Source organism: Homo sapiens, chromosome 22 (assembly GCF_000001405.40).
Source record: "Homo sapiens chromosome 22, GRCh38.p14 Primary Assembly".
Lineage (NCBI taxonomy): Eukaryota > Metazoa > Chordata > Mammalia > Primates > Hominidae > Homo > Homo sapiens.
Window position 1 is genome coordinate 28,460,299 of NC_000022.11, and position 16,349 is coordinate 28,476,647.

Below are 16,349 nucleotides of genomic sequence, written 5' to 3' on the forward strand. Positions count from 1 at the left end.
GTAATTACAAAGTTAAAATATATTGTGGTAAAAATGCAAGGAGATAGAAGGATATAAAATAAAAATTAAAAGTCGTTCTTCCCATCACCACCAGTCCTACTCCTCTTTTTCATACACTCCCTAAACTTTTCTATGCATATACATTTTTTTCCAACTCACATGAGATAATACTTTATGTACAGACCTGCAACTTGCTTTTCTGCCCAAAAGAATATCTAGGACATCTCAGGAGCTATCTAATATGTATATATATATATGTATGTATGTATGTATGTACATACATATAATAGATGGATAGATGATTAATGGTAGATAGATAGATAGATAGATAGATAGATAGATAGATAGATAGATAGATAGATAGATAGACAGACAGACAGATAGATAGGCAGGCAGGCAGATTGAGATGGGGTCTCACTTTGTCACCCAGGCTGCAGTGCAGTGGTGCAAACAGGGCTCCCTACAGCCTTGACTTCCTGGGCTCAAGCAATACTCCTGCCTCAGCCTCCTGAGTGGCTGGGACCACAGGTGTGCATCACCACACCTGACTAATTTGTAAGTTTTTTTGTAGAGACGGGTTTCGCCATGTTGCCCAGGCTGGTCTCAAACTCCTGGGCTCATACTCTCCTCCGACCTTGGCTTATCAAAATGCTGAGATTACAGGCATAAGCCACCATACCTGGCCTCCTATGATTTTAAGTAGCTGTATAATCTACAAAATACAATAACTTAATTGACCCACTAGTAGGATCTGTTTATCTACGGTCTGCCTCTGAAAAAATATCTGGCATATGCCCATGCTTGTTCCTCATTGTGGCCTTCTTGCTTATGGTCATTATTTCATTTTCTATATAGTTACCTTCTATTTTTCTAAAACTTTGTTAAAGGCAGAATGTCTATTGTTTCATCTTTATATTCCCAGTGTGTGCAATGGTACATAGTAATACTAAATACTTGTTGAATGAATAACTATTGACCTACCCAAAGATAAATACCTAATAAGTGACAGAAATGCCATTATACCTCTCAGTCTAGCTCTCTCTTTCCATTAGACCGTATGGTCTTGTAGACTATCCTTAAAAACTGACCAACGTAACACCCTACCACATACAATATCAAACCCACAATTCTTTCTTCAGTTTTTTTTTTTTCTTTTGAGACGAAGTCTCACTCTGCCGCCCAGGCTGGAGTATAGTGGTGTGATCTTGGCTCACTGTAGCATCTGCCTCCTGGGTTCAGGCAATTCTCCTGCCTCAGCCTCCCAAGTAGCTGGGATTACGGACACCTACCACCAGGCCCAGCTAATTCTTAATAGAGGCAGAGTTTCACCATGTTGGCCAGGCTCGTCTCGAACTCCTGACCTCAAGTAATCTGCCCACCTTGGCCTCCCAAAGTGCTGGGATTACAGGCATGAGCCACTGTGCTAGGCCTTCCTAAGTTTTTTGTTCCTCCATGATCTGGCCTATCCTCTCTCACCAATCCTGTCCTCCTTGACTTCAAAATAAGGCCACCTTACTCCATACATTGTGCTCTCTTCTCTGTCTTTCCCACCAGTCATGCTAACCCCCACCCAGGTCATAACTTAGTCTGTTGCTCTATTCTGGAATTCCTTCCCTTCTCAGGTCCTTCCGTCCCAGTTACACCCATCATTCACCAACCAGCTTGTCTCAGAATCTTCTCTTCTCTAAACCCATGTCATAATTTTAGTATATATAGTCTGGTACTAGCTATTCTCTGATTGTTTCGTATTTGTTAGAATTTCCTCTCCTATTATCTTTTTAAGGTAGCAACTATATTTTAACAATAATAGCTACAATTTATTATGTGACTGTGATAGCTCATATTATTTGTTCAAAATATTCACTGCTTCTCTGTATCTAGCCCATTTAACCTCCCTTTGAGGTGAGTATACTTCCTGCTCCAGTGATGTCAGGCTTGGCCATGTGACTAGCTTTAGCCAATAGAATGTGAGTACAAGTGTTATATGCCACATCTGAACAGAATTTTAAGAGCCATAATGTGGTTCCATCATGCTTCTTTTCTCTCTGTCATGAGGCTGGGATCTCTCAGATAAGGGTGAGCCCAGTCTAGGTCCTAAAAGAAAGAAGTTGTGGAACAGGCCTACAATTGACCTACAGTCAATGTGAATAAGTAATGTGAGTGAGAACTAAACCTTTGTTCATTGAGATTTGGGGATTGTTACCCAGAATAATGTGAGCAAATAACTTTCATCCTGTTGCTGCTTTCCCCATCCCCACCTTTCCAACCTATACAATAATAATAATGACAACAACTGCAACCTAAGAAATTTCAAGAAGTTACTTAGGAAGTTCTATGGCTTTCCTTACCTCAAGTCAAAGTGGGACTAGGGGCTTCCAAGAAAATTAGTAATAAAAATTGAGAATACCTGTAGTAAGAGAAGATTGGCATCTCATTCCCCATTTGAATTATGAGACCAGCTGTTCTCAAATTTTAGCATGCAACAGAATCACCTAGATGGCTTATTAGAACACAGATCATTAGGTCCCACTGGGCCCAAAAATTTTACATGTCTAACAAATTTCCAGGTGATACTAATATTCCAGTCTAGAGACCAGGCTTTGAGAAATACTAGATTAGGCAATGAATATTTGATCTGCCATTATAACTTGAGAGAACTGGCAGAAAGAGGGACAACAGTACAATAGCTTAAATGCCCATAATTTGATACAGCAAAGATATGCAAATTTCCAAAACTTAGGCACCACAGATGGCTTGGGACATCTTCCTGGTATCCTACCCAAGATGACTGCCAGAAGGCAAGGGGATTCCACAGAAGGAGGCTTTTGGCTGTGCCACTTGATGCGGATGCTGAAAGAAGTTGAAAGAAACAGAGCTGGAACTTACTATCTCACATTAAGAAATTGCAATGGTAGCGTGATGCCTCCAGCTTTGTTCTTTTGGCTTAGGATTGACTTGGCAATGCAGGCTCTTTTTTGGTTCCATATGAATTTTAAAGTAGTTTTTTCCATTGGTGGGACTGTAAACTAGTTCAACCACTGTGGAAGACAGTGTGGCGATTCCTCAGGTATCTAGAGCTAGAAATACCATTTGACCCAGCCATTGCATTACTGGGTATATACCCAAAGGATTATAAATCATGCTACTATAATGGCACATGCACACATGTGTTTATTGCAGCACTACTCACAATAGCAAAGACTTGGAACCAATCCAAATGCCCAACAATGATAGACTGGATTAAGAAAATGTGGCATATATACACCATGGAATACTATGCAGCCATAAAAAAGGATGAGTCATGTCCTTTGTAGGGACATGGATGAAGCTGGAAACCATCATTCTCAGCAAACTATGGCAAGGACAAAAAACCAGACAACACATGTTCTCACTCATAGGTGGGTATTGAACAATGAGGACACTTGGACACAGGAAGGGGAACATCACACACCGGGGCCTGTTGTGGGGTAGGGGGAGGGGGAGGGATAGCATTGGGAGATATACCTAATGTAAATGACAAGTTAATGGGTGCAGCACACCAACATGGCACATGTATACATATGTAACAAACCTGCACGTTGTGCACATGTACCCTAGAACTTAAAGTATAATTAAAACTATATATATATTTAAAAAAATAAAAATTAAAATAAAAGAAATTGCAATGGGAAGCCACCTTAAAGGGTCCTCCAAAAAATTAATATACATGATCTCACGAGAGAACTATCATTTGGATACCTGCCAATGTCAACCCTTAAAAACTGCAACGACCAACAGTGAGTAAATTACAACAGCACCAGTAAGGTAAGAGACATTTAACCCTTTCCATCATCTTCCTTCACATACTAACACATTGGAAGAGCTAGAGACCCAGAAGAGATGGGGAGGAGACGTTTACAAAAAAGTTCCCTCCTAATGAAGTCTGGGCCACTGTCTCTGGAGAAAAGGGAAAGAAGGACTTTGAACTGGATGTGATACTGGAGTTTTAAATTTAACCAGAATTAATTTTTAATACCAAAAGTATGCAGACAGTTATGGAATCTGGAATCTTCCCAGAAACAGGGACTTGGCAAAGCATGGTTGAAGGAAGTGTTTGTAGGAAAATTAAGTCATGTATTTATATCCCCATAAGACTAGTGAGGAAGCATATGCATATTTACTGTATCAGTAGCTTCATTTTCCTGATTACCTGCATATCTTTTATGATTTCTTGATTTTTATTTTTCAATTTTCTTTAGGAAAGGTTTTTTCTATCTATGAAAAAGACTAAATTAAGTGGTGATAAAATTCTATCTGTCTTCACTTCCTCACTTTGGAAGGAAAAAAAATCTTAAGAGCTGAATCTTCTTTAGAACAGAACTTAAAATGAAATATCCTCTTTCTCGCTCAGTATCAGGACTTGTATTTTATCTCTACTTTTTCTACTATCTCTTAAGTTTTTCCCTCTGTTATCACTTCATTTTCAATACTGGAAAAGATGATACTTACCCCACTGTTAATGCTCCCAGAATTTTTACATCTATCTAACTGAACTGCAGCATTCTTCACTGCTTTAATGTCCTCTTCCAGAACAGAAGGAAGCAATACTCCTTGAAAGCCATTTATATTAAGCCAGATTTCAACTCACGAAAGAACTTGAAATGACCTGATATTGTGGTCTTTTACAGACTTCACACCAGATGCTTTCCATTTTTATAGACTCCCCCAAAACTTCACTTTCTTACTGGATTTCTGTACCTCTGTGTGTCCAGTGATCATATATAACAAGCAGAACTATAAAACATCATAGATTTACATTTTCTGGTTACTAACTTAGGTTTACAAACTGGTTTGTCTCATTTGGTAGAAAAATATTTTCTTCAGCTAGCTTCCTAAAACACAATCAGGATAAATTCTGCATATAGGCAAACAGCCAGAGTACAATAAGTTAGACCTAGATAAGGAGAAGAGAACCAGAAGTTCAATTTTAATTTTTAAAAAATCTGAATTCCAGAAACAGTCAATTTCCCAACTTTATAGGAGGCACAAAATTATGCCTTATCCTGGGCCGGGCACCGTGGCTCACTCCTGTAATCCTAGCACTTTGGGAGGCCGAGGCAGGCGGATCACAAGGTTAGGAGTTCGAAACCAGCCTGACCAACAAGGTGAAACCCCGTTTCTACTAAAAATACAAAAATTAGGCCGGCGTGGTGGTGTGTGCCTGTAATCCCAGCTACTCACGAGGCTGAAGCAGGAGAATCGCTTGAACCTAGGGAGTGGAAGTTGCAGTGAGCCTAGATGGTGCCACTGCACTCCAGCGTGGGCAACAAGAGCGAAACTCCGTCTCAAAAAAAAAAAATTATGCCTTATCCTGATTATATTAATCATAGTTAGATTTAGGTCCTAAATAATTCAAAGTAATAGTGGCTTAACATAAGGGAGACGTTTAATTTTCTCTGATATTAACAAAGACCAGACATCAGGAATCAAAGGTTGATATGCTATCTCAACTATCATCAAAGACCTGTTCCCCTATTCTCCTGCCCCATCTTCGACATATAACTTTCAATTACAGTCCAAGATAGCTGCTTAAGTACCAGCTGTCATATCCATATTCCAACCAGGAGGAAAGAGAAAGGAAGAAAGGCACATTCTTCCCTATAAAGATATGTCCAAGAAATTGCACTTGATACTTCTGCTTATATCCCACTGACCAGAATTTCATTTTATTCCTCTATACTAGCTGTAAAGTTGGAAAATGTAGCCTTTATTCTGTGTGGCCAAAGGTCTAGTTAATAACTACAGAGTTTATTGCTAAGGAAGAAACGGAAGTGATTATTGGGGGAACAGCTAGCAATTTCTGCCACAGTGATTATCACATTTTATTGTTTCTGAGCCCCAGGACTTAACTTGTTACCTCAGGCAAGTCAATTTACATTTTTCTCACAAAAGTCTCCCAATACTTCGCATGAAGAGCATCCACTAGAGAAATGCCAGAAAATACAGGATCATCCTGGGAATGCCAAGAAATTCTCAACATAGAGGCAGCAGTAAATTTACTAAGAATTTTAGGTAGCAGTTGAATAAAACAATGCTGAGTTGATGCTCTCTGTTTCCTCTTTCCCCTTGAGATCCTTCCTCTATATTGCAGGTACAGACAGCAAAAATTTCTATTACCTAGCATTAATACTATATAAGATATGGTATGCCAAACCAAAGTAATAAATCTAAAGAAATCACACAGAGTACCAAGAATGCGAAATGTGACTTGGCACTAAGACTAGCAAAGAGCAGCACAGTGTGTGATTAATCCTGCATGGCCACATTTACATCTCTAATTTGCTCATATAAATGCATTAAGCCAGATGGTTTTAGAGACTAGCACTCACATATACTCGTGGGTCAACACCCGCGTCTTATGTACTTTATGGGTGCCCAGGCTTGGGCAATACCCACCCTTCACCCTTCACTACTTTTCTAGCATAAGCCCCCTTATTTTTCTCCACTTCCCATAATCAGTATTCTCACATTATATACATACATACACACACACACACACACACACACACACACACACACCCCTATGCCAGTATCTGTTGTGACCTTGCTAAGTAATACATTAGGAGGATATGAGGAGGCAACTGTCACTTTAATTTAGAACACATTAAGAAGATAATTTTTTAAGTGGGCATTCTATTCTATTTGTGAAGAATTAGAACCCCCATCCAAAAATGGAGTCATATACTTTGTTAATATAAATCATGTTCCATCTACTAAAGAATAATCCACACTAATAACTGGAATTCTTGAAAATGTAATCAAATTCTAAACGAATGCTTTCATTTGTTAAATTTTAAAACTTACCAGGCATGGTGGCTCACATCTGTAATCCCAACACTTTGGGAGACCCAGGCAGGAGACTCACTTGAGCCCAGGAATTTGAGCCCAGCCTGGGCAACATAGTGAGACCCTGTCTCTACAAACAAAACAATAAAAATTAGCCAGGGTTGGTGGTGCACATCTGTGGTCCCAGCTATTCAGGAGGCTGAGGTGGGAGGATCACTTGGGCCCAGGAGGTCAGGGTTGCTGTGAGCTGTGATTGCACCACTGCACTCCAGCCTAGGTGACAAAATGAGACCCTGTCTCAAAAAAATACATATACTGATTTCTAATTATTACAATAATTCTATATTTATTGATTTGTTGGCATCTACCTCCAACCAGACACATCATGTGAGCCTATTCAGTGAGGCAGCTGTAGTAGCAATTTGTTTCTAGACTAACAATATATTGTTAAATATGGTCATTTTCTTCTATCTCAAGTGCTAGCAATTGACAGATTCTCAATTAGTCTTCACTATGGAATTGTAATATTAGGAATTGTACATGACAAGCAAATATAAAACTAAGACATGCCTCAGGCATTAGCAAACTTAGAATTTTTGTTATATCAGAAAAGTGAAACAAATCTGCAACACCTGAGAAGAGATTTTTTTTTCCTTGAGACAGAGTCTTACTCTGTTGCACAGGCTGAAGTGCAGTGGTACAAACATGGCTCACTGCAGCCTCTACCTCCGGGGCTCAAGAGATCCTCCCGTCTCAGCCTCCTGTGTAGCTGGGACCACAGGCGCATGCCACTGCGCCCGGCTAATTTTTTTCTTTTTTTTTTCTTTCGTAAAGACGGGTTCTCACTTTGCTGCCCGGGCTGGTCTCAAACTCCTGGGCTCAAGCGATCTGCCTGCCTCAGTCTCCCAAAGTGCTAGGATATTACAGGCAGGAGCCACTGTGCCTGGCCCATAAGAGATTTTTTTATTTCAGAGAAATAAGGTACAAAGTAAGAATGCTATGAAAATATGATCATAAGTTCAAAAAGAAAACATCCTCAAAGAATGTGAGCATGGTTTGGGGGCAATGAACACAATCCTCTCTGAGAAAAAGCTGAATGGATCCCTGCAGCACGTCTGCAGCTGATCTACAAATGCTGGGAGCAGTTATAGGAGGGGATCTTCAAGTTCACAATGCAACTAGAAGAGGCCCAGGTTTGCAATCCCAAGACCCACAGAATCTATTTATTTCAGTGACGACAAAAGCTACTTAAATCAACAATCTGAGGGGAAACAAACAGTAAAGATACACAAGAATCTCATTCTCTATGTCTCCTCTCCCCCATCTAAGCTCAGGTTATCATTTCTTTTCTTTCATCCTTCATTTCTTTCATACTTAAAAGAGTTCATCTCTCATAATGCTTTTTTTTTTTGAGACAGAGTCTCACTCTGTCGCCCAGGCTGGAGTGCAATGGCACACTGCAAGCTGTTGGCCCACTGCAAGCTGCAGCTCCCGGGTTCACGCCATTCTCCTGCCTCAGCCTCCAGAGTAGCTGGGACTACAGGTGCCCGCCAACTCGCCCGGCTAATTTTTTTTTTTTTTTTTTTTGTATTTTTAGTAGAGACGGGGTTTCATCCTGTTAGCCAGGATGGTCTCGATCTCCTGACCTCATGATCCACCCACCTCTGCCTCTCTAAGAGCTGCGATTACAGGCATGAGCCACCGCGCCTGGCCCATAATGCTATCTTGCGGGTTACAATTATAAGACTGGCTCTCATTTGGTTTTAAGAGCAAAGGGATGATAATCATTAAATGTCTAATACTAGTTGTTAGATTCACCCTGCCTGGTGCAACCAAAACACTCCAATTATTTTCAAGAACATGCATTTATTCTGCCTCTAATTATAGCTAAATTAGCAACGTTAATTACTCATCCTTTCTTCTCTAGGAACTGCACCTCCTCAACGACTGTGAAGTCTGAGGCCATGTTTGTCCTGCATGAGCCTTCCCCCTGGCCTATGAAACTTAACCAGGGTTGGACACTTGACCAAATTAGAGCTTCAGACTACCTCTTGTGGGAATCTGGAACTGATAATCAACCATCTTGTTAGTCCGAAGTATTCTCTTGTGAACCCAGGACCCAAGGCCATCATTGTTGGTAATATATGCTTGGCACCTGTATGCCAAAGCAGAGAAAGCTAGTCTTCAGAAAAAGGGAGAACCACGAAGAACTGCAGAAAGAAAAGTAGCAGTAAGAGACTATGGTAAACTAAATAACAGCCCCCGAAGATATCCAAGTCCTAATCTCTGGAATCTGTAATGCTAGTTTATATGGCAAGAGGTACTTTGCACATGTGATCAAATTAAGGATCAAAAAAATAAAAAAATGGGGAGAATATTATGGATTAGCCAGCTAAGCCCTAAATATAATCTTAAGTGACCTTATAAGAGGGAGGCAGAGGGAGATTTTACTACAGAAGAAGAAGGCAATGTGATAACTAAAACAAAATGCCATACTGCTTTGAAGATGAAGAAAGAGAATATGAATAAAGGCAGGCAAGAAATACAGCTCTATATAATGGAAAAGGCAAGGAAACACATTCTCTCCTAGAGCCTCCAGAGGGAACACAGCCCTGGCAAGATACCTTGATCTGAGCCTAGTGAAATTAATTTCAGACTTTTGAGCTTCCAGAACTTTTAATTTCTAATTTTTTATTTCATTTATTATTTTATTTACTTATTTATTTTTGGAGACAGGGTCTCACTCTGCTGCCCAGGCTGGAGTGCAGTGGTGTGATCACAGTTCACTATGCACCTTGAACTCCTGAGCTCAAGTGATCCTCTTGCCTCAACTTCCACAGTAGCTGAGACTATAGGCATGTACCACCACATCCAGTTAATTTTTTTCTTTTCCTCTTTTTCTTACAGATGGGGTCTTGCTATGTTGCCCAAGCTAGTCTCAAACTCCTGGGCCTCAAGTGATCCTCCTGCCTCGACCTCTCAAAGCACTGGGATTACAGGCATAAGCCACCACACTCAGCCTAGAATTTTAGAAGAATAAATCTAAATTGTTTAAGCCATTAACTATGTGGTAATTTATTACAGTGGCAACAGGAAACTAATATAGAGACAATGTGGCCTTAAACGCAGAGACTAAGAGGTGGCTGGCTGGGTTCCTAACTACTTTCTATTTCATTCTTTCACGTTTTCATGCAGCTTAGCCTGAACATCTTGCTATTGGGTTCCATGAGATACCAGTGTTTCATGACAATAAATTCAACATTTTGCTTAAGCCCACCAGAGTCTTAGCTAAGATATAAGCAAGCCCAAGAAGAAGCTATGCAATGTAATTTGAAAAGAATCATAACTCACAGTCTCCAAAAAAAAATGCATCTGCCTCCAAGGTCTAAAACAGTGCCCCAAATTTCTACCATAGGAGTCACCCTTGTAGCTTTAGGTATTGTATGTAGAATGCCCTGTCTTAAAGTGTAACTTTATTTTTATCCAATAATAGAATTCTCTAATATAACTGCATAAACTGAATCAGCATGCGTTTTTTGACAAAATAATGTAAGAAAAACTTACATTTTGCCCTAAAGAATTGGAGTCCAAGAAAAGTACGTTTGTAAGAAGGAAGTTACAAGAAACTGGAACGTAAAACAGCCGTCTGAGAAGGCAAAAATCAGTAAGGCAATAATATAGAAAAAGGAGGTTTTAGCAGGTGAAGAACAACACAAGAGAAGTGAGTACTAAGAGAAGGTTAGACTCGAAATGTGGAGATGACTCGAAATGTGGAGATGACAAGCACAGATTTTCTCCACATTTCAGCCGAAGGCCTACAGATTTAGAGGATCAACAGAGAAGCCAAAATATGCTTCACAAATCAAACCTATCTTAGACGCTCAGTACAAAAACTATACTCTACCAACATGAATCCCAGACCTTAACAGAATGAGGAAAGCAGTCCATTTTCAACAATGAAAAATGAGCAGGTTCACCAATACTTTCATCTTTCAACGCTTGGAAAATTGTACTTTTGTGAATAATTATTAAAAGTCTACCAGTCTTTAGTTTTCATAACAGTATGCAGAACAACTCTTTTCCAAAAAACCATTATCCTTCCATGTAGTACCTTTATGGAATAGGTCATTAGGTGCTGGAACTCTTTGTACCTCAATCTTCAATTCACATCAAAAGGCAAAATGTCATTAAAAACTTTGATTAGCGATGCAGAAAAGCAAAATCCCAGTATAATAAAAACCTAATCCAGGTTGAAATGTTACAGCTAAAATCATCAGAAATAAAGATATAATTTCCTAGAACAGTCTCTGTGACAAAAGACCTAGGAGGGAAAAATGCATGTTTAACATAAACTAGGAAGAGCTTGTATTATTTGGTGAAGAAAATGCAGAGTGTCCTGAACAATAAATAACTAAAGTATCATTTATCACTTGGAAACAACAGGGAGCATGAAAGGGCACAACAAGGGAGCAATCACTCAAACAGGATTACTCATGAACTCCAAATGCTCGTCACTAATTACAAATTATCCCATAATACTCTGAAATGATCAAATAGGTTAATATATGATTTGAATTAATCTTCCTAGGTTTAAGATTTTCCTCTAATCCACTGAACCTTAGAAGCAGTGGAGTGTGATTTCTGTATAACAAGAGAAAGAACACTAGGAACATTAACATAATATTCCAATCTTTTGCCAGGCCAGTATCAGATACAGCTCTTTTGCGAGGGTAAAAACTTAATGCTTCATGTTCTGACCTTTATTAGGATATATCTCTTAAAGAAAGGTCTATTCAAAGCCAGAGAATATCTTTGAGTCTCTGGAGTGCAGTGACTGTGCTCAAAGCATCTTTGAATCTTCAACATTTAATAAATGATGTATGATTGATTGATAAATGAATGATACAATATCACAAACCTTTCTTCAAAGATTCTGCCTTTCCTGAATAGCTAATAAAAGCCCCTCAATAAGATACCATACACTAATCAAACTAAGAAACACAAAAGAGCATCTATTTGTATCTATCATTCTATTAATTTACATCAAACATTATATCTATCTATCACGTTTCAATTCTCCGCCTTGTATGAGTTTCTTCTTGATTTCCCTATCACTCTTCTTTTTAAAAATACATTGACATTTCTTTAGTTAAATGGTTGCTATTATCTTTATAAAGCATAATGGTAAAGACTGACTTGTGTAACCATTCTTTAGCAGTGGGAGTTATGAACCTTAAGCGGTGAAGAAATCATTCTTGGGGAGATAGGAGGCAAAACGGACAGGATAGAAGAACTGCACTTGATGACTTGTCCTGGGTGGTATTAATAGTTTCATAGACATTTGCTTACTAATAGATTATTGAATTATACATTTTGTTTTGTATACCTTCATGTTTCTAGATTAATTTTTGACAAAAAGAAAATGTGTATGTGTGTGTGTGTGTGTGTGTGTGTGTGTGTGTGTGTGTGTATCCTCAAATATATAAAGAATGAAACTGCAACCGTAAAATAAGAACAGGTTACTTTTAAATTCGAAGACCAGTTCAGGCAAGTTATATCTGCATAACAAACATTCCTAAAAAAGGGAACAGAGAAAACAGGGAGGAAATGATCAAAGAAATAATTCCAAAAAATTCCCAAAGGACACTGTTTTCTAGATAGAAAAGGCCCACCAAGTGACCAATACCATGAATGAACACACACTCACATCAAGCCATAGTAACAAGAAGTTTCAGAACACTGAAAATCTTACAAGCTTCTAACAAAAGATTTAATATCAGATTTAATATCAGAATGGAGAAAGAAAGGATTTGGAATTAGAATGGCTTTAGACTTCTCAATAGGAACACTCTATTTAAGCTAGTTTAGGCTTCTTGTTCCTTCCTAAGGTAAGCAAAAGAGCCTCAGCTAAAACACTATTAATCTCATTGTATTTGGAAAATGCATAATCCAAAAAAATAAAAAGAGAAGGTGGCTCATAATTATTCTTATAAACACGAGGATTTCTTTACACTATAATGAAATAAAAATGAAAAAGGTATGAAAGCTGAAAATAATAAAGTCAACTAACTTAGTAACTGTCAAAAATATTCTTATTATAGGCTGAATTAATATGTTGAGGTCCTAATCCTCAGTACCTCAGAATGTAACTGTATTTGGATATAATGCCTTTAAAGAGAATTAATTTTGTAAAATGAGGTCATATTGAGATAGGAAGTAGGACTCAACTCTGGAGGTGGGGCTTGAATTCGGGACCAGATTGAGGACTAGCTAAAACAGGGAAGAGGCAAAAACACCTCTCCATAAGACACGCCCAATGGCCAGTTTACTATTGCCATGGCAATAACTGGAAGTTACCACCCCTTTCCATGGCAACTACCTAGAAGTTGCCACCTATTTTCTAGAAATTTCTGAATAACCCACCCCTTGATTTGCATATAATTAAAAGTGGGTCTAAATATGACTGCAGGACTGCCACTGAGCTGCTACTTGGGAAACACTGCCTATGGGGTACCTCTGCTGCTGCTGTACACTGCCACTTTCAATAAAAGCTGCTAACACCACTGCATGCCCTTGAATTCTTTCTTGGGCAAAGCCAAGAACCCTCCTGGGCTAAGCCCCACTTTGGGGGCTCACCTGCCCTGCATCAATATGAGTGAGCCCTAATCTAATATGATTGTTGTCTTTATAAGAAGAAGAGATTAGGGCACAGACATACCTGGAGGAAAGACAATGTGAAAGAAGCAGACCATCTAAAAGCCAAAGAGAGAAGCCTCAAAAGAAATCAACCCTCCTGACACCATGTCCTGGTCTCCTATCTTCCAGAACTATGATAAAAGAAAATTTTTTGTTGTTTAAGCTATCCAGTTTGTGGTACTTTGTTACAGGAGCCTTAGCAAACTAATACAATTCTATTAATACCCTGCTAAAATAATTACTACCAGTTAAACATGACAGATTAAACACGAATTTAGATCTTCTCTCTTCCAAAATCCCACTAAAATGACATTTTAAAAATGTTATAAACTCACAAGGAAAAAAAGATCAGGAGAAGAGGCAAAGACAGCAAAGTTTTAAAAGCTAGAAAGCAGATGAACAAGTGGTAACTGACTTAGCAGAACCAAAGAACTGACTTGGCAGAAGCAAAACTTAAGCCAGTAAGGAAAGCTGAGAAGCAAACCAATGTATTTATATGTATATCAGAATCCCTATAAGGCTCAGAAAGTAGAAGTACCATGTACCTCTGGAACCTGAGATGAAGACAAGGCTAAAAACTGGAAGAGAGGTTCAAAGTCTGTTTAAGAAGCAGTTACACTCCCAGAAGACTCCTCCCTCTTATTGCAAAGCCTGAAGAGAGGAAAACAAAGTTCTCTGGGCTGGGAGATACCAGGTGTGGTTAGAGGGTTCCATAATGAAAAACATGTAGATGAATTAAAGGCTTACATGTTTGGCCCTCAGAACACTGACATCAAGCCAAACATGTACCCTCAGGCAGAAAAGTAGAAGAGTTGGTGCTGCAAACTGACTACATCTAAGGTAGAACAAAAGACTCAAAAGGATTCTATTAGGCATTCTCTAAGTATATAGCGCAGCCAGATCACCATGTGATAAATAGCATAGTCAATTGGCCCTGCCCTTGCTCAGAGAGCTTGCATTAAGTTTTATTGTACCTCACTCTTGAATAGAAGCAGAAAAGTAAGAATGACAGATGTTTTCTGGAAAATATCTAATATAAAAGGCAGGCACCAAAGCAAACAAAAAAAAGTAATTTGGGGAAAATAGAGAATATGCACATATATGAGAATTTCAAAAAGCTAATCATTAATATCCTCAAGGATAATAAGAGAATCATGTTTGAATGAAAAAGGAACAGGCTTTACTAAAAAAGAACATTAAGAAAACAAAAGTCCTAGCTACTCGGGAGGCTGAGGTGGGAGAATGGCGTGAACCCAGGAGGCAGAGCTTGCAGTGAGCCAAGATTGTGCCACTGCACTCCAGCCTGGGTGACAGAGCGAGACTCCATCTCAAAAAAAAAAAAAAAAAAAAAAAGAAAGAAAAGAAAAGAAAGAAAGATTAATAAAAACAAGTAAGATAATTATTTAGCTGTTTATTCCAGTTCAGGGCTGCGGGTGGCCAGAGGCTATCCCAGCAGCTAAGGTCACAAGGCAGGAAACCACCCTGGACAGGATGCCCTCCCATGGCAGGGCACACTCACACCCACACTCATACTGGGACCATTTTGACACACCAATTAAACTAATGTACACATCTCTGGAAATGGAAGGAAATCTGAGTACCTGGAGAAAACCCACACCGACATGGGGAAAGCGTGCAAACTCTACCCAGTGGGCCCTGCCAGGAATCCATTTTTTTCCCTCATCAACTTTGTAACCAAACAACATTGGAGCAAACGATGTTACTCAAGGATGCACTTTACTGCTCTTCCTGGTTGACTCTTGTGTATGTGAAGAGTCAGGCTTAGTTAATCAATCCATCAGTAAAGATGTATTCTTATTTATATTCCAAGTAATAACATAAATCTTGTAATTAAGGCAATGCCAATCAGATACTGAATAAATGACAAATTAAATGCTATAAATGTACTTTAAGTAAATTATTTCCAAGTTTATAAATGCCACAGTAGTCATTAATGGGAATTTGGACCTACACGCTGAAGTATGAATGGGAAATCACTAACCCAAAAACCATAGTGTACAGGATGGGTTGCCAAGCCCATCCACTCTCGTAAAATACAGTGTTCCTTTCCAAGGAAAAAGCTTACACTAGTTTTTTTCCTACAATAATTGCAAAAATTTCTGCTTTGAATGAAATTAGTCCCTCTTTTGCCTCATTTTGTCTCCATTGTTCTACACAAAAGCCAGAGTAGCTTTTTAAACAGTATAATCTTTTAAAATATAATACTTGACATACCAAGAGACACATTGAAGGTTATATTAAGTTATAAAGCAATCCAAGACCAGGACATTACCAATAACTTGTTTCTACCTCCCCCATGCCATCTACCTGCCTCCTGCCTGAGAAAATATTATTCTTAATGCTGTATGTATCATCTCCTTGCCTTTTTTGACATAGTTTTATCACATTATGCCTGAATAAAATATTATTTAGTTTTGCTTGTTTATTAACTTTATCAATGATGCATGTAATTATAGTTCATTCATTTTCCCCTTATGTATAACGTTGTGTAATATGTGATATGCACTGTTTATTCTTTATCTTGTCAATGGACAACTGGGTATTTTCCAGTTTTGTTCCTATTACAAAGTGTTGCTTTCAAAATTCTAAAACATAGCTCCTAGTGCACTTGTATAAGAATTTTCCTATCTAGGAGTCAAATTGCTGGTTTATAAAGTTAAAAGTTCAACTTTTAAAATATTGCCAAACTATTCTTAAAATCAGTTATTCCAATGTATGTTGCCACTAGCAAGATATGACGGTTCCTAGTCATCCCCCACAAAACTGTTAAATGGCATTTCTATAAATCTACTAGGTGGATATAGTAT

At 38.6% G+C, this 16,349-nt stretch overlaps 1 protein-coding gene across 9 annotated transcripts in view; it reads right to left on the reverse strand.

Moving 5' to 3' along the window:
• The window catches only part of TTC28 (tetratricopeptide repeat domain 28), a 701,827-nt gene that overhangs the window by 482,285 nt on the left and 203,193 nt on the right, over positions 1–16,349 (reverse strand). The gene's annotated exons all lie outside the window — the stretch shown is intronic.